This window comes from Homo sapiens, chromosome 17 (genome assembly GCF_000001405.40).
Source record: "Homo sapiens chromosome 17, GRCh38.p14 Primary Assembly".
In the NCBI taxonomy this organism is placed as follows: domain Eukaryota; kingdom Metazoa; phylum Chordata; class Mammalia; order Primates; family Hominidae; genus Homo; species Homo sapiens.
The window spans coordinates 64,562,337-64,581,332 of record NC_000017.11 but is presented as its reverse complement, the minus strand read 5'-3'; the positions used below and the strand labels follow the sequence as shown (position 1 = coordinate 64,581,332).

General features: G+C 39.1%; 1 protein-coding gene across 4 annotated transcripts in view; it reads left to right on the top strand.

The window, feature by feature from the left end:
- The window catches only part of SMURF2 (SMAD specific E3 ubiquitin protein ligase 2), a 120,026-nt gene that overhangs the window by 80,975 nt on the left and 20,055 nt on the right, over nt 1-18,996 (top strand). For 3 of the 4 annotated variants that reach the window (XM_005257585.4, NM_022739.4, XM_047436546.1), the window contains 4 exons: nt 342-544; nt 2,757-2,841; nt 9,377-9,535; nt 18,367-18,562. In XM_005257585.4, the coding sequence (XP_005257642.1) occupies nt 342-544; nt 2,757-2,841; nt 9,377-9,535; nt 18,367-18,562 (643 nt within the window). The remainder of the gene's footprint in view (nt 1-341; nt 545-2,756; nt 2,842-9,376; nt 9,536-18,366; nt 18,563-18,996) is intronic. The other variant, XR_007065425.1, reaches the window with a different exon arrangement.

The window sequence follows — 18,996 nt, the reverse complement described above, 5'->3', positions numbered from 1 at the left end:
GAGAATGGTGGGAAGTCAGGTCTGAGGGAGAGGCTATAGCTAGATCAAGCAGTGTTTTGTAAGCCAGTCTCACATCCACAGATACGTATGGATTTTATATCAAATGTCATTAAAGTCATTTAAATACATAGTTGATGACATGCTTATCATTTGCATTTCTTTGGTGCTTAGAGACTTCAGGTTTGCTTTTACTCAGAGTTCTTGAAGTCATTATACTTGTATTAGTCATTCTGTTTTCAGACATGATAAGTGGTTGTTACTGCAGTATATATATATTGTCTAGAGAACTCTACTTTTGATATCTAAATTGATAACATCTTTTCCTTGTTAATTTTCAATAGACCGGCATCCGAATATTCTAGCCCTGGCAGACCTCTTAGCTGCTTTGTTGATGAGAACACTCCAATTAGTGGAACAAATGGTGCAACATGTGGACAGTCTTCAGATCCCAGGCTGGCAGAGAGGAGAGTCAGGTCACAACGACATAGAAATTACATGAGCAGAACACATTTACATACTCCTCCAGACCTACCAGAAGGCTATGGTATGACAACTACAAAGGAAAAATAAAATGTGGTTTACTGATTTCAGTTTGCTGAGGAAGTCAGAAAATATATTTTGAAAAAGTTATTAATCTGAGCTTAGGGATTCTGCATGAAAATAAATATAAAACCTCCCAACTTTGAAAAGTCTTTGAAGTGGTAGATGACTACCTAACCAACAGTTTGACCTTGTGCTCATCATTCAGCCTCAGCGTTTGTGCTCTTCTATAATGAAGTGAGATGACTAGTTTATAACAAAGGTAGTGTGAGAAGCATACGAAATGAAGTGAGACTGTTTTGTAAATAGGCACTGTATAGAAAGGTAAGATGGTATTGTTACTGATAACGGTAATCTGAAGTTCAACCTATGACATAATTTTTTAGACATATATATTTAGAAATAATTTTAAAGGCATATTTCTGATCATATATTTGTATTGTCTGTAATTTTGGATTATCTGATTGGATTGTTGTAAATGACTGAGTCACTTCTATGTTTGTATAAAATGATTACAATCTTATATAAAATCCTAGATTATAAAGTTTCATGTGGAAGATAACATGAGTCTTCTCCTAATAGAATACGGAAGTTTCTAATTTAATACCATCTTGTGAATCCTTGTATATAGTCTGAACTTGACTTCCTCTTCTTGCCAAAAGCTCACCAAGGTTACTTACATCTTTGCCCTCTTAACAGACTATAGATAAACCACTTTGGATTGATGTTGACATCTAATGACCAACACTGGGAATTGCCACATCTAAGTTTTATTTTACTCAAGAATATATTTTAAAACTCTTCTGCAAATGCATGATTCTTATTTTAGTTTTAAATGTATTTTAGCTCTTTAATTTGAAAAAACTTGTCCATTAACTGTGCTATGACTCAAAGGTTAACTTTTAGCACAATCATTAAATTATAGGCTTGAGTGACAGACAGACTTAGGACCTAGGTTCGTATCCTGGCTTTGCCATGTAACACCGAGCACATTATTTAACCTCTTTGAGCCTCAATTTTATCCTCTATAGAGGAAAATAACAGCACCAACCATCTAGGTTTGTTGCAAGAAATCAGTGATATCTAATTTCATGTGAAATGCTGGCACAGTGTCTGGCATAGTAAATTTTAACTGTCATTATCAGTGTTCAGACCTGAGAAGAAATACTCTCCTGCCATTTCTCTTTGAGATTATAAGGCAAGCTCTTTAGAGTGGGAGTGGTTATACTTCTACAATATTTCTGTGATTTGAATTTTAAAAACTGTACAACCAAAACATAAAAATAAAGTGGATACCAAGGCTGAAGTTATTACAGCTGTCCTCTATAGTAATATGATTTTGTTTATAATCTGTGAAAGTTTAAAGTTTAAATTTATTGACATTATACGTTTATAAACAAATTAGATTTATACTAATAAATATTAGTAATAGTTTTTTATGTATTGAAGTTTCTCACTGGATTTTGTCTAAAGAAAAGTGGTTCTGTTGTTCTAAAAAAAAAAGACAAAACAAAACCCACCATAAAGAAACCCTTTTAGAGATTGTTCTCTTCACCCTGGCCTTTCCTCTGTCTTCCCAAGGATTTTGAGTTCATTTTGTCCTTGACTTTTTTCTCCCCAGTGTGCGTGCTTGCTCTTTAGTCCTCTTCTTTCTAATTTGGCTATTTTTCCATCTCTATCTGTTTATGACATAGAATGTCTCCCCAGTATCTCATCTGTTTTGCTTCTCTTTGAGCTCAAATGTAATCTTGAGAATATACCTTTGTCTAGCAAAGAGAAAACATAAGTTTTGGTATAAAATTAGGCATAATAAGCATTATCAACCTCCAGACTCTTTGAAAATTTCTGGAAGTTCCTCCTCAAATCTTCCCAATGTTGGCCAGCCTCTTTCTCAGAGCCTTTTATACATCATTTAAAATTTTTTAGTTATTAGTATTGTGACAATCTTGATTTGTTTTCCATTGCAACATATTTAGTATTTAAGCCACGTTATAAGTTTAGTTTGTTTATGGATAGCTGGCCTGTGGCCCTCATCATTTGTAAAATTGTTTCCAAGAGACAGAACAAATGATTTGTAAAGCCCTTTTTTGATAATAAATAAAATAGATTGGTAATTTGGAGATTTTTCCCTATTAGTATATCATCTTAGTGTATATAACTGTCTTTGATCTGGACACTCTGAATGTTTTTGTTATCAGTGTTTATTAATTTTACAGAACAGAGGACAACGCAACAAGGCCAGGTGTATTTCTTACATACACAGACTGGTGTGAGCACATGGCATGATCCAAGAGTGCCCAGGTAAGAACGTATTTTAAGCACTCTTTAGACCATCAAAGAGCCATTTCACCTAGGATTTCTTTGATTTTTAAGAAATTTTTACCTTTTAAAAATAGTTTATGTAAAAGTTTGACTCTTCTGATAGTTACTTCAGTTTTAACGTTTAGTAGAAAGTCCTGCCTACTGCTCTGCAATCCCACCTCAGTTCTCCCCTCCCTCACCAGTTCCTAGCCACCCTCCCCTGCTTCCCCTTAAAAAAAAGTGGAATAGGCAGGGCATGGTAGCTCATGCCTGTAATCCCAGCACTTTGGGAGGCCAAGGTGGGCAGATCATGAGGTCAAGAGATCGAAACCATCCTGGCCAACATGGTGAAACCCCATCTCTACTAAAAATACAAAAATGAGCTGGGCGTGGTGGCGCGTGCCTGTAATCCCAGCTACTCGGGTGGCTGAGGCAGGGAATCGCTTGAACCCAGGGAGGTGGAGGTTTGCAGTGAGCTGAGATCACGCCACTGCACTCCAGCCTGGCCACAGAGCGAGACTCTGTCTCAAAAAAAAAAAAAAAAAAAAAAGTGGAATGAAAACATGGATCTTTTAGGAGTTTGAAATTTGTCCTAGGGCACCAAGCAGGTGGCTCTTACCTGTATTCCCAACACTTTGGGAGGCTGAGGCATGAGGATCACTTGAGCCCCAGGAGTTTGAAACCAGTCTGAGCCACATAGACCTGGTCTCTACCAAAGATTAAAAATCAGCTGTATGTGGTAGAGCACATCTGTTGTGGTCCCAGTTGCTTGGGAGGCTGAGGCAAGAGGATTGCTTGAGCCATGGAGGTTGAAGCTGCAGTGAGCCTTGGTCGTGCTACAGCACTCCAGCCTGGATGACAGAGCAAGACCCCATTTCTCTCTCTCTCTCTCTTTTTTTTTTTTTAGTGTTTTATTTATTTATTTATTTATTTATTTTATTATACTTTAAGTTCTAGGGTATATGTTCACAACGTGCAGGTTTGTTACATATGTATACATGTGCCATGTTGGTGTGCTGCACCCATTAACTTGTCATTTACATTAGGTATATATCCTAATGCTATCCCTCCCCCTTCCCCCCACCCCACAACAGGCCCTGGTGTGTGATGTTCCCCTTCTTGTGTCCAAGTGTTCTCATTGTTCAATTCCCACCTATGAGTGAGAACATGCAGTGTTTGTTTTTTTGGCCTTGCGATAGTTGGCTGAGAATGATGGTTTCCAGCTTCATCCATGTCCCTACAAAGGACATGAACTCATCCTTTTTTATGGCTGCATAGTATTCCATGGTGTATATGTGCCCTTAATCCAGTCTATCATTGATGGACATTTGGGTGGATTCCAAGTCTTTGCTATTGTGAATAGTGCCGTAATAAACATACGTGTGCATGTGTCTTTATAGCAGCATGATTTATAATCGTTTGGGTATATACCCAGTAATGGGATGGCTGGGGCAAGACCCCATTTCAAAAAAAGAGAAAGAAAATTCGTGTAGTCCCAGCTGCTCGCGAGGCTAAAGTGGGAGGCGGAAGTTGCAGTGAGCTGAGATCACACCACTGCACTGTAGCCTGGGTGACAGAACGAGACCCGTCTCAAAAAAAAAAAAAAAAAAAAAAAAAAGGATAGAAAAAGAAAATTGACCTGGGGAATAACGGAACACATACCCTTTAAAAACGGGTAGTAGGTTGATATTCTTAATTATGGTTCAGCTTAAAAAAAAATCTTTGAAAAATTTAACCTCATAAATGCATTCAATGTTCTGTTATGTGTTCCTTAATAAAATTCCATTTTTAGAAAACAACGTAATTTAATTAATTAATTAATGTTTTTGAGATGGAGTCTCATTCTGTTGTCCAGGCGGGAGTGCAGTGGTGCAATGTCAGCTCACTGCAACCTCCGCCTCCCGGGTTCAAGTGATTCTCCTGCCTCAGCCTCCTGAGTAGCTAGGATTACAGGCACCTGCCACCATACCCAGCTAATTTTTGTATTTTTAGTAGAGACGGGATTTTGCCATGTTGTCCAGGCTTGTCTTGAGCACCTGACCTCAGGTGATTTGCTCACCTCGACCTACCAAAGTGCTGGGATTACATGCGTGAGCCACTGTGCCTGGCCCTAATTTAATTTAAATATCCAAACTTGTGTATTTCAGCTGCAGATATTGCATTTCCTAACCAAAATGTCAATTACTTTTAACTTCAAAAAGATGAAATGACACACAAATAAATTTAGTGATTTACCATAATTTTTGGAACATTGTTTTCTCCCTGCCTCCCTCCCTCTCTTTTTTTTGAGACAGGATCTAGCTCTGCTGTCCAGGCTGGAGAGCAGCAGTGCAGTCCTGGCTCACTACAACCTCTGCCTCCTGGGTTCAAGTCATCCTCCCACCTCAGCCTCCTGAATAGCTGGGACTACAGGCATGCGCCACAATACCCCGCTAATTTTTGTATTTTTAGTAGAGATGGGGTTACGCCATGTTGCCCAAGCTAGTCTCAAACTCCTGAGCTCAAGCAATCTGTGCACCTCGGCCTCCCAAAGTGCTGGGATTACAGGCATGAGCCACCATGCTTGGCCCTATTTTGAGTTATTTTTTAATGAACAGATGCAAAGTACCAAGTAGTCCAGTTACAACTGGAAAAAAGCTTGAATTCTAAATTAAATTCTAAATCAACTTTGTATGTTGCACATACAAAGGATTTGTAGGATGTGGATATTTTATGTTAAGCACAGCAGCGCCCCTCCTCCAAAACAAACCCCCAGAACAACCCACAGAAGGTTGTTTTTTTTTCCTGCCTAAAGCTTATGCTCAGGACTCTATTGTGTATTTGAATAAAAAACAGATGTGACTAGCTAGTCTTGGGTTGCTTTGATACTCTCTATTTATAAATAAAACTGTGATTATGAAAATGTCTTACTTTGTGTTATAGAGCTCAGAATTCTTTGAGGGTGGCAACCAAGGGAATGTGCTATTACTCATTACTTTATCAAGGTTGCCATTTCCATGTCTTGACAATATAAGCTGTTAGTTTTTAAAAAGTAGTGGGGGCCGGGCTCGGTGGCTCACACCTGTAATCCCAGCACTTTGGGAGGCTGAGGCAGGAGGATCACTTGAAGTCAGGAATTTGAGACCAGCCTGGCCAACATGGTGAAAACCCGTCTCTACTAAAAATACAAAATTAGCCAGGCATGGTGGCATGTGCCTGTAATCCCAGCTACTCAGGAGGCTGAAGAAGAAGAATTGCTTGAACCTGGGAGGTGGAGGTTGTGGTGAGCCGAGATCGCACCGTGGCACTCCAGCCTCGGCAACAGAGCAAGACCCCATCTCTAAAAAAATAAATAGATAAAAAGTAGTGGGGAGGAAATTTTACTTTTTTTTTTTTAAGCTTACTAAAAAAAGAAAAAAAAAATCCAAGGGCCTAACTTTTCAAAATCAGTTTTATTATATAAATTGTAAAAAGCTTTTTGGATTCTGTTTATCTAGTTGAAGGTCAATAATAAGCTTTTCTTTAAATTAATTAGAAATTACTTGTAGGAAATGTATAGAATAACAATGATCATTTTTTTTAACTAAATGATTTACAATAGTGAGAAAGTTGACCTTGAGTTACATGTTGAAAGAATAGTATGTAAGCTGGCAACAGAAATTGAAATTGAGACAGATTTCAGCACCACTGTTGGTAACAGGCTCTTATTCCAGAGGAAACATGTCAGTTTTTTATTAGTGAGTAAAGGATTTCTGCGAAGCTTTAAGAATATCTCATGTTGAGTATTGACATGTATTTTGAATGATGATTTTATGAAATAACACTTGGGATTATTTTTCTTATTCTGTATCCCCCAAATTACCTTAAAAACTTACATCTTTTGTTTTGGAGGATCCTTTAGCAAATATGCCTTTTGTATGGAAGATCTTTTATGAAAGTATACTATAAATATTTAGTTTCTATTACAATATCACTATTCGAAGATATTTATAAAATTGCAAAGTCAGACTCTTTAAAACAAACTTTATTTAAAGATATCCAGGATACCTAGATTTATCCAAGAAATCTCATTTCATCATGTTTTGCATTTCTCTTTAAAACAATGGTTAATGCCTTGTTATTTGTTATATTGCATACTGAGTGACTGTAGTCTTGAAATACAGATCTGTGTTACTTTGTATGACTGTATAACATTCCATTTTTCTTTAACCAGCTCCCAGTGAGACATAAAGATTATTTCTAGTGTTTTGCTCTTTTAATCAGTGCTTTAGCACTCTCCCGTGTATGACTGTAGATTTATAAAATTCTAAATAAAATGACATGAAATGAAATTCTACATTTTATCAGTAGAATTGTTCATTTTTTATTTTAATTTTTTTTTTAACTTTTAGGTTCAGGGGTACATGTGCAGGTTTGTTATAGGTAAACTTGTGTCATGAGGGTTTGTTGTACAGATGATTCTGTCACCCAGATACTAAGCCTAGTACCCATTCGTTATTTTTGCTGATCCTCTCCCTTCTTCCACCTTCCACCCTCTGATAGGCCATAGTACCTGTTGTTCCTCTCCATGTGTCCATGTGTTCCCATCATTTAGCTCCTACTTATAAGTGAGAACATGCAATATTTGGTTTTCTGTTCCTGCTTTAGTTTGCTAAGGATAATGTCCTCCAGCTCCTGTTTTTCATTTCTAAACCATTAAAAATCTATTTGGGGCCGGTGCAGTGGCTCATGCCTATAATCCCAGCACTTTGGGAGGCTGAATTTGGGAGGCTGAACTCCCTGAGTTCTCAGCTTGGGGAGGAAGCTTCAGGTTTCCTATCCCAGTCTTGCTGCTGGCCTGCCCTTCTGCCTACCTGCCACTCAGGTACCATCTTTACTCAGTCCCCCGAACTCCCTTTTTTTTAAAATTTGAGGAGAATTCTTGGAACTTTCCCTTGCCTCTTTTGAGACTAGCAGTGTTTCAAATGGTGTTTTTTCCTACACTTTAGCTGTTCTGTAGCAGGAGTCTCTTGGAACACCTATAGCAGAAGTCAGAATGATTGCTTTGGCAAATATAGGTCCCTGTGTGCCCATCATTGGTTTCACTGTGACTAAGGAGAAGTCATCTCAGGAAAAACATTTTTCTAGTATAACTTTTAAAATGTGGTTTTGATGAAATTTGTGATTACTTATAATTATCTGTTACAATTTAAATTTACATAAACATGCTGCTTTTATCTTCTCCTCCTCCTCCTCCCCCTCCTCCTCCTCCTCCTCCTCCCCTCCTCCTCCTCCTCCCCTCCTCCTCCTCCCCTCCTCCTCCCCTCCTCCTCCCCCTCCTCCTCCTCCTCCTCCCCCTCCTCCTCCTCCCCCTCCTCCTCCTCCTCCTCCTCCTCCTCCTCCTCCTCTTTTTTTTAATAAAAAGAGGACCACAAAAACAGTTTTACTATCTAGATGCTTGAGTTTGCTTGGTCACTTTCAGAGTATGTCGTTTCTTTGGTATTTACACATGGCTCTGGTAACCTAAAGTATTCATTTAAGGCAGGAAATGACCTGATCATATCATACATTGTTACACGCAGTCTCAATTATGTCACCAAGGGCAGTGACTTTTCTCTTCTGGTGGATGACAACAGCAATTTCCACACTTTGGAAGCTTCACTGAAATATTTTTTTCTAACAGTGTAGAGGATAAGAATTTGCAGTTCTATTGCCAGTTTATTACAGAGGCTACAACTCTGGAACAGCCAAATGGAAGCAATGCTTAGGACACAGTATGGGGGGAGGGCAAGGAGCTACCATGCCCTCTCTGGGCAGGCCACCGTCCAGTACCTCAGTGTGTTCACCAACCTGGAAGCTCCTTAACTCATTCTTTAAGGCCCTATTAATCCTTCTCTATATATACTAGTATTTTAAGAATGTATAATATAATAGCAATAGTCTTTGGTCCATTAAAAATCTTAGCTTTTCTTATTGCAGTGGTAACCCTTAGAGCACTCTTGGTAATGTATCTTAAACAGGTTCTTCATTGACTAACTTTACAGATTTTAGAATTGCAGTTTATTCTTTAAAAATATGCTGTGATTATTTTCAGGATCATAATTTCAGTAACATTTCCAGTTTTGCTTTGTTGGCGAGCTTAAAATTATGGAATGGACATTTTATGCAAATTTTATGGTATAGTAAAGAAATGAAGGGACATTTTAGAAAGCATTTAATTCTTTATGTCACTGACACTTGTAAAATTACTTCCTGTCAAACACGTGTTGAAATACAGTTTATGTTGGCAAATATTGGGATTGATTTTATATTAATTTAAATCTGTATTACATTAAAGCCTAGGAAATTACTAAAAAATGTAGGCTATGTGATAAGTTTTTCTGAGCCATTTATGGATTGGGCTTTGAAGATGAAAGTTTGTTAAACCATTGGGAATTAAAGATTCCAGCTGAACATCTCAAGTTTCTGAAACAATACATTTTCTCACACTTTGTGGAATTGTTCTGTGTCATTTACACTTGCTTGGTTCAGCAGGGCGAGCAATGAGGTATTTTTTATTTTATATTTGTTTTTGCAGGGATCTTAGCAACATCAATTGTGAAGAGCTTGGTCCATTGCCTCCTGGATGGGAGATCCGTAATACGGCAACAGGCAGAGTTTATTTCGTTGACCATAACAACAGAACAACACAATTTACAGATCCTCGGCTGTCTGCTAACTTGCATTTAGTTTTAAAGTAAGTTTTTGAAACAATACATGTTAAAATGGGAGTTAAACATGATGAAACGCATAGATGCTTTTAATAATAAATGTGAGTCTCGATACAGTGGCTCACGCCTTTAATCCCAGTGCTTTGGGAGGCCGTGGCAGCAGGATCACTTGAGGCCAGGGGTTTGAGACTAGCCTGGTCAATATAGTGAGACCTCATCTCTACAAAAAAAAAGTTGTTTAAATTAAAAAATTAGCTGGGTGTGGTGGTGTATGCCTGCAGTCCTAGCTACTTGGGAAACTGAGGCAGGAGAATCGCCTGAGCCCAGGAGTTTGAGGCTGCAGTGGACTATGATCACACCACCCCAACTCCAGCCTGGGTGACAGATGGAGACCCTGTCTCTTAAAAAATGAAAGAACATCTACTTTCATCAGTTATAATTTACTTTTATTGAGCAAAATTTATGTAAGAGTGTGACAAGGTTTACTCTGATATGAGTATTTTAAACCTACTATGCTTTTAGGTAGGAACCTGTCTTGGAATGTTAGGAAAAGGGTTATTAGAGGTGCTCAAGATGGCCTTTTACAGAGGCAATATCTTGACAGGAGAAGTAGGGGTTGAACAGGCTAATTTTGTGTTGCCATTGTAATACAAAATTATTAATAATTTATATTAATGGCTAACACCTTAGTAGCACTTACTGTGTGACAAGCATTGTTCTTTATACTTTACATATGTTGGTAAGGCCAGGCATGTGGCTCATGCTGTAATCCCAGCACTTTGGGAGGCTGAGGTTGGAGAATCACTTGAGCCTAGGAGTTCAAGACCAACCTGGCCAACATGTGAGTCCTATTCTCTTCAAAAAATTTTTTTAAAATTAGCTGGTCATGGTGGTGCGCACCTGTGGTCCCAGCTACTCAGGACACCGAGGTGGGAGGATCTCTTGAGCTCAGGAGGTCGTGGCTGCAGTGAGCTGTGATCGCGCCACTCATTCTAGCTTGGGCAACAGAGTGAGACTCTTGTCTTTAAAAAGCAAACAAACAAAAACACCCCAAGTTCGTAATTTCATCCTCAGAAAAACTCTGTGAGTTAGCTACTGCCATTTTTACAGATGAGGAAACTGAGGTATAGAGGTTACATGACTTTCCATACGTTGCCAGTGGTGAAGTCTGGAGTGAAACCAGGATGCTCTGGCTTCAGCTGCCTGTGAGGCACTATACTGAGTATTGTGTGTATATTATTTGCATCCTTTGCTTTTCTTTTCTCTCTAGCTGCCTCATTTCTTCTAACTCTGTTACTTATTAGCATTGCCTTCTGAAGAATGGGGGCAGGAGGAGGAAAAGAGAGAACAGGAAAACTTCATTACTAAGCTAAGTAGCAAAGTGTCTTTTTCAACACTTCTGGCAAAAACACTGAGAGTGGTATAGCAACAAGGATTTTAGGCTAAGAACTTGGAGAGCAAGGTTCACTCTGACCCCTGAATAATTCATTTTAGCTTCTCTAAATGAATGGTGACATTACCTGCTCTGTCTTATTCATTTGTTGTAAAGTTCTTATGTATGTTAAAATGTTAAAAACACAACAAAAATAATAATATACTTTAAAATGACTTCTGAAAATGTCCTTGTTTCATTAATTTTTGGAGTTAGGTTAATAAAGCAAAAAATTTAAATGAGAACTGGCTACCAGTTTTTTAGGATAATAGGAGAAAACATTGAAAATGTGTATCTTTGGTTCCTTCTTCGAAATATGTATAATTATCCTGGCAGTCTCATTATGTCAGCAGATCTTACTTTATTGTAGATAGAAGATTCTAAAACCTTGCTTACAAATGAAGGTCGCAAGTATTTGAAAGCCCTAATGTAAAAGTATCTGAAGAAACAGAGAAGTATGGACTGTTTCTGTGCATTAGGGTCTTTATAGCCTAGATAGCAAAATAAGTGTCATCTGCAGTCTACCCTTTGAGTAACACTGCTCTAGGGCGCTTGCCTGGTTGTGGAATTGCTATGTCGTAGAATATTTCTATCTTCAACTTTAATGTATAAAGGTAACTTTTCTAAAGTGGCTATGCCAGTTTAGTCTTTTACCGGCAATATATGAGTTCCTGTTGCTGCAGAAGCTTGCCAGTACTTGCTGTTGTTGGACTTCAAAATTTTTGCTGTTCTGATGATGTTTAATGGTTTCCCATTGTAACTTTAACTTGAATTTTCCTAATTACTGATGAGGTTGAGCACCTTTTTATAGGTTTATTGACTATTTGGATTTCCTGTTTTTGTGAAGGTCCTGTTCACAATTTTTTGCCATTGTCTATTGAGCTTGAACAGCTTTTTTTTGGCCTATTGACCAGCTGCATCAACTTTTTTTGTTAATTTATATCTTTTTTGCCTATTTTTCTAATGTAATCTTTATCTTCTAAAATTCACACTACAAGTAAATGTTTTTAATACATTTATAGTTTTGTCTTTTACTGTAAAGTCTTTAATCCATGTGGACTTTACTTTTGTGTATGGATTTTTTTTTTTTTAGATGGAGTTTCCCTGTTGTCACCCAGGCTGGAGTACAATGGCGTGATCTCAGCTCACTGCAACCTCCACATCCCGGGTTCAAGCAATTCTCCTGCCTCAGCCTTCCAAGTTAGCTGGGATTATAGGTGCTTGCCACCACGCCGAGCTAATTTTTGTATTTTTAGTAGAGATGGGGTTTCACCGCGTTGCCCAGACTGGTCTCGAGCTCTTGACACCTCAGGTGATCTGCCCGCCTCGGCCTCCCAAAGTGCTGGGATTACAGGTGTGAGCCACCACGCCTAGTTCTGGAATTTTTTTTGAGATGGAGTCTTGCTTTGTTGCCCAGGCTGGAGTGCAGTGGTGCTATCTCAGCTCACTGCAACCTCTGCCTCTTGGGTTCAAGCGATTCTCCTGCCTCAGCCTCCTGAGTAGCTGGGACTACAGGCGCGCACCACCACGCCCAGCTAATTTTTGTATTTTTAGTAGAGACGAAGTTTCACCGTGTTAGCCAGGCTGGTCTCCAACTCTTGGCCTCAAGTGATCCTCCTGCCTCAGCCTCCCAAAGTGCTGGGATTACAGGTGTGAGCCGTTGTGCCCGGCCTGGGTTTTTTTAAAGGGCATATAGGGGCAGCAAATTGGAATTTGGGGAGATGATAAGGAATAAAAGATGTTGGAGCACTCTACAGAGGGCTTTTGTTTTACTTTTGTATCTTAATTGTTTGTTACCTTTCTGCTTCCCCTACTAGACTTTGAATTACTTAAGAAGACGTGTATCCCATTTATTTTTGCTGCTTTAGTATGTAACATACCCAAAGTACTTGACAAATGTACAATGGTAATCAAGAGCCAGTATGGCTCTCTGAGAGGCCCAGGAAGCCTCCAAGAGGTGGTTGTGCTTTATTTACCTCCTGCCTCCAGGATCATCCCTTTAGGTCAAGCTTGTCCAACTCACGGCCCTTAGGCTGGGCCCAGGACGGCTTTCAGTGTGGCCCAAAACAAGCTGGTAAACCTTCTTAAAAACCATTATGTGGGCAAGGCATAGTGGCTCAACGCCTATAATCCCAGCACTTTGGGAGGCTGAGGCGGGCGGATTGCCTGAGGTCAGGAGTTCGAGACCAGCCTGGCCAACATGGTGAAACCCCGTCTCTACTAAAAATACAAAAATTAGGCCAGGCGCGGTGGCCCACACCTGTAATCCCACCACTTTGGGAGGCCAAGGCGGGTGGATCACAAGATCAGGAGATCGAGACCATCCTGGCTAATACGGTGAAACCCCATCTCTACTAAAAATACAAAAAAATTAGCTGGGTGTGGTGGTGCACGCCTGTAGTCCCAGCTACTCGGGAGGCTGAGGCAGGAGAATTGCTTGAACCAGGGAGGCTGACTTTGCAGTGAGCCGAGACAGCGCCACTGCACTCCAGCCTGGCAATAGAGCGAAACTCCGTCTCAAAAAAAAAAAAAAAAAAAGCCAGGTGTGGTGGCGGGTGCCTGTAATCCCAGCTAGTTGGGACCCAGGAGGCTGAGGCAGGAGAATTGCTTGAACCTGGGAGGTGGAGGTTGCAGTGAGCCAAGATCACACCACTACATTCCAGCCTGGGTGATAGAGCCAGACTTTGTTTCAAAAACAAAGCAAAACATTATGAGATTTTTTTAACAGCTCATTAGCTATTGTTAGTGTATTTTATGTGTGGCCTGAGACAGTTCTTTTTCCAGTGTGGCCCAGGGAAGCCAAAAGATTGGACATCTCTGCTTTAGGTAATAGATGTTTGCCTTGATGTTGCCAGTAGAATATTTCAGTAGAACAGTTACAGATCTTCCATCTTTTTGCTGAATAGTTAGTTGTATTAAATAACTGAATGAAAAATAATGTTCTGAAGGAATAACTACAGGTGGGATGATTAGAAATGTCTGTTGTCTTTTCTGTTTGTTGGAGTAAATGACAGGAAGTAACTTGAAGAACATTTGACTAGTTTTCTTATAATTGTTAGTTTTCCAATTTTGTTGATTAGTTTCCATTAATATGGCCAGCATTTGCATTATCTGGAAGTTTTATACATATTCCTAATAGAAAGTTTTCATTTGAACATTTTTGTATTTTAGTATTAATTTGTTCCTCTCTTCAATATCTTTGATTTCAAGTTACTGTGCTATGAAAAAGCTTAAGGCTGGGCATGGTGGCTCACACTGGTAATCCCAGCACTTTGGGAGGCCGAGGCGGGTAGATCACTTGAGGCCAGGAGTTGGAGATCAGCCTGGCCAACATGACAAACCTGTCTCTACAAAAAAAGTAGGCGTGGTGGTGCATGCCTGTAATCCCAGCTACTCGGGAGGCTGAGGCATGAGAATTCCTTGAACCTGGGAGGTAGAGGGTGTAGTGAGCTGAGATCGCGCCACTGTACTCCAGCCTGGGCGACAGAGTCTCTATCTAAAAAAAAAAAAAAACTCTCTGTCAGCGGGGCACGATGGCTCACGCCTGTAATCCCAGCGCTTTGGGAGGCCGAGGTGGGTGGATCACAAGGTCAGGAGTTTGAGACCAGCCTGGCCAATATGGTGAAACCCCGTCTCTACTAAAAATACAAAAATTAGCCGGGCATGGTGGCAGGCACCTGTAGTCCCAGCTACTCGGGAGGCTGAGGCAGGAGAATAGCTTGACCCTGGGAGGCGGAGGTTGCAGTGAGCGGAGATTGCGCCACTGCACTCCAGCCTGGGCAACACAGCGAGACTGTCTCAAAAAAAAAAAAAAAAAAAAAAAAAAAAAACCAGAAAGCTTAAGCATTTCTACATCCGTTTTTGTTTTGTTTTGTTTTGTTTTTTTCTTCTTAAGGACAGGATTTCACAACTCCAGCTACTAGTTCGGTAAAGTCCCTAACCTGATAGATCCTCCCTGGGGTTTATATTCGTGTTACATTACATAAAATATATAAAAATTATTTGCAGCATTAAAGTTTCTGTCATAAATTAACTTTAAAGTGATAAATTAGTTTTTATTCAGCTATGTAATGTAGTATATAATTTATATGTGAAACAATTTATTGAGATACATAAGAAACAATTTTAATCTTAAAATTGTAGTTTTAAAAAGATTCATAAGGCACTAATTTTAAATTATAACAGTTAATTTATTAATCTTTACATATCAGGATATGTCGGATAGAAGTATCTTTTCTATTAATGTTTGATTTCTATTTTTTAAAGATTTTTAAATTGGGGGGTTTTTCTTTAGACAAGTGTTAACGGAGTTTTGAATCTATGTCTATGAGCCGTCAAATATAGTATTACCTTATTTGGTACATCTATTATGGTTTTTATTGTTTTTCTCTCTTGGAAATTTTTTTGGCAAAAATGTCATTAGAATATAAATTATATTGCAAAACATTGCCATTGGGGTTTAATAAATAACTTTGCCAAGGAAGCATATTCTTCTAAGAAAGCATTTTAGTCAGTTTTTTTTTTTATTTCCTTTGCTTGAAAAGCATGTTTTTGTAACTCAGTAACTATCTTAATAGTAGCTATAGTAACTGATATTTATTTTGCACTTACCATGCTCTGAGTGCCCATGTCATCTTCATTGCAATCCTGGGCTACCTCTTTCTCATCAGTGAGAAAAATGGGGCCTCAAGCAGTTACAGAACTTGTCCAGAGGTGCATAAAAGGTGCTAGAGCTGGGATTTGAATCCACCCAGTCTGACTATGGAGGTTTTTTTTTTTCCCTTCATGTTTTGATTCCAGTAACACTAATTACTTATTTCCCTTCCTTTGACTGGCATTGCATGAAGATATTCTGCCTTATACCCTTAAAGGAAGCTTTTCTTTTTAAAGAAAAAGATGACTTATGGGCAAGGGGATTACAATTTGAGTCTTTTCCCTGCTTATCAGATCTACTTGATTTCAAGAAAATCATTTGCTTGTTTGATAAAGCCTTTAGACATTGGCAGAGGCCCTAAAGGATAGACCAGCACCCCCACTGTTTCCTGGCCTGCACTCTCACATCAGCCCTTACAGAACTGCCCCTTGCACCCTAGCACACCTGAAGAGACAGGCTGCTTTATTGGGTAGTTAGATTTTTTTTTTCCCTGAGTGCATCAGGAACAATAGTTCCAGGCTAGCTGCCCACATCCCAGAAGGATTTTCTCCTGTGTCCGTTTTTGTCCTTCAGCTCTAAGCCACCTTTCCATTTGCATGGCTTGGTCTTTCACAGGAGGCTTTGTGAAGAGGCCTGATATCTGCTGGATTTTTTAAAATCAGCCTTATTGAAATATATTGACATACAATAAACTGAATATTTAAAGTGTACAGTTTAAGTTTTGATATACACCATGAAACCATCACCACAGTGAAGATAGTGAACATATTCACCACCCCCAAAAGTTTTCTCTTGCCCTTTTGTGATTTCTTCTGTCCCTCCCTGTGGGACTTCCACCCTGTGTTAGTTTCCCAGGGCTGCTGTAACAAAATACCACGAACTGGATGGCTTAAAACAACAGAAATTCATTCTCTCACAATTCTGGAGGCAGAACTACAGGGTAAGGGGCTGACTCTATAGTAAGTGATAATGAGTTCCTTCCAGAGGCTTTGAGAGAGAATCTGTTCCATGCCTCTTTCCTAACTTCCCAGTGGTTTCTGGAAACCTTGGTGTTCCTTGGCTTGTAGACAAATTGCTCCAGTCTTTGTCTTCTGTCCTCCCATAGTCTTCTTTCCTGTATGTATGTATCCTAATTTCCCTCTTCTTATAAAGACATCAGTTTTTGGATTTAAGGCCATCCTAATCCAGTATGATCTTACCTCACCTTAATTTTATCTGCAAAGACCTTATTTCCAAATAAGGTCAAATCCACAGGTTGACCAGATGTTGAGCCTTCAGCATATCTTTTGGGGGACACACAGCTCAACCCATAACACCCCATCTCCAGCCAACTGCTGACCTGCTTTCTGTCAGTATATTAGTTTGCATTTTCTAGATAAATGGAATCATGCAGTATGATTTCTTTTACTCACATAATGAGATTCATCATTGTTACATAGTTCATTTCTTTGTATTGTTGGTGGTATTCCATTGTATGGGTATACCACAGTTTATTCATTTATCTACTGATGGGCATTTGGGTTGTTTCCAGTCTTTCGCTATGACAGATAAAACTATTATGAACATTTATGTGCAAGTCTTTGTATGTATATGCCCTCATTTCTCTTGGTTAAATAAATAACCTAGGAGTAGAATGGCTTCTTTGGCAGAATCTTTTGCCATGCCCCCAGCCCTCCCAAATCGAGCAGCTCAGTTTTTTGTTGAGTTTTGAGCTTCTTTAGATATTTACATATCTGATATATGCTTTCCAAAGGAATTTTCCTAGTCTATGACTTGACTTGTCTTTTAGTTTTCCTAAACAGTGTCTTTTGAAGAGCAGCAATTTTCTTTAAGCTGAGGGTGGTATTGGGTGCCTGTAGTTCTAGCTACCAGGAGGCTGAGGCAGGAGGATCACTTGAACCAGGAGTTCAGGGCCAGCCTGGGCAATATAGCAAGACCCTGCCTCTTTAAAAAAAATTTAAAAATGGATGTTCTGTTTATCCATTTGTTCTTTCATGGATTGTGCTTTTGGTGTTATATCTAAGAAATCATTCATTGCCTGATGTATGTCATAACAAATTTTCTCCTGTGCTTAGAAGTTTTATGGCTTTGGATTTTACATTGATGTTTGCAGTCCATTTTGAGTTACTTTTTGTATCTGATATGAAATATACCCAAGTTCATTTAAAAAATAAGATTATACAGTTGTTTATGGAATGCATTTATGTACACGGTAATCTGTTTTGATTTTGTGTGTATGTTAAAACATCTTTATTATAGTATTTGTAAGAGTAGTTAATATTGACTTGGCATTTTAAACAAAGGTGTATTTTCTTTGTATGGTCATATGTTTTAGGTATAATATTTGGCCTGGTGTATAAAAAGAAGGGATCCCTGCCAAGCTGCCTTTCAGACTCCTGTTTGGCTCTTCCAGAAAGAAAGAGTCTAGATAACAAGCAGTGTTTGGCACATGCCTGAATTTTAAAGTGGGTGATGGTAAACTCTGTAGGGGAAAATGGAAGCTATATTGGAAAAATTTGTCCTCAGAAGCTGTATAAAGCTTTATGGATAAAATTCCATTATCCAATTCTGTCAGTTTATGTGGACTATGAGAAATAAACTTTGTAGCTGGTTTATTGCTGCCAAAAAATGTCAAGCCAAGTATATGTTCTACTAAGGCTTGGAAAATGATAGAGCTAGACTTGCTTTATAATATGATGCTATTTTAAATCTATAATTGCAATTTTTAAAATTTGATATACTTTAATAATAACATCTATGTTTACTTCTAGTCGGCAGAACCAATTGAAAGACCAACAGCAACAGCAAGTGGTATCGTTATGTCCTGATGACACAGAATGCCTGACAGTCCCAAGGTACAAGCGAGACCTGGTTCAGAAACTAAAAATTTTGCGGCAAGAACTTTCCCAACAACAGCCTCAGGCAGGTCATTGCCGCATTGAGGTTTCCAGGGAAGAGATTTTTGAGGTAAATTTACGAGCCTTATTTTGTTTTACTATTTTTTTTTCCAGAAACCCATTGCTTGCTAATACAAACCTTATTTTAAATTAGAGAGAAATTGGCCGGGTGCGGTGGCTCACGCCTGTAATCCCAGCACTTTGGGAGGCTGAGGTGGGCGGATCACCTGAGGTCGCAGCTCGAGGCCAGGCTGACTAACATGGAGAAACCCCATCTCTACTAAAAATACAAAATTAGCTGGGCATGGTGGCACATGCCTGTAATCCCAGCTACTCGGGAGGCTGAGGCAGGAGAATCACTTGAACCCAGGAGGCGGAGGTTGCGGTGAGCCGAGATTGTACCATTGTACTCCAGCCTGGGCAATAAGAACGAAACTCCGTCTCAAAAAAAAAAAAAAATTAGAAGTTAAATTTGTTTTATGCTCTTTTCCAAGAATACCGAGA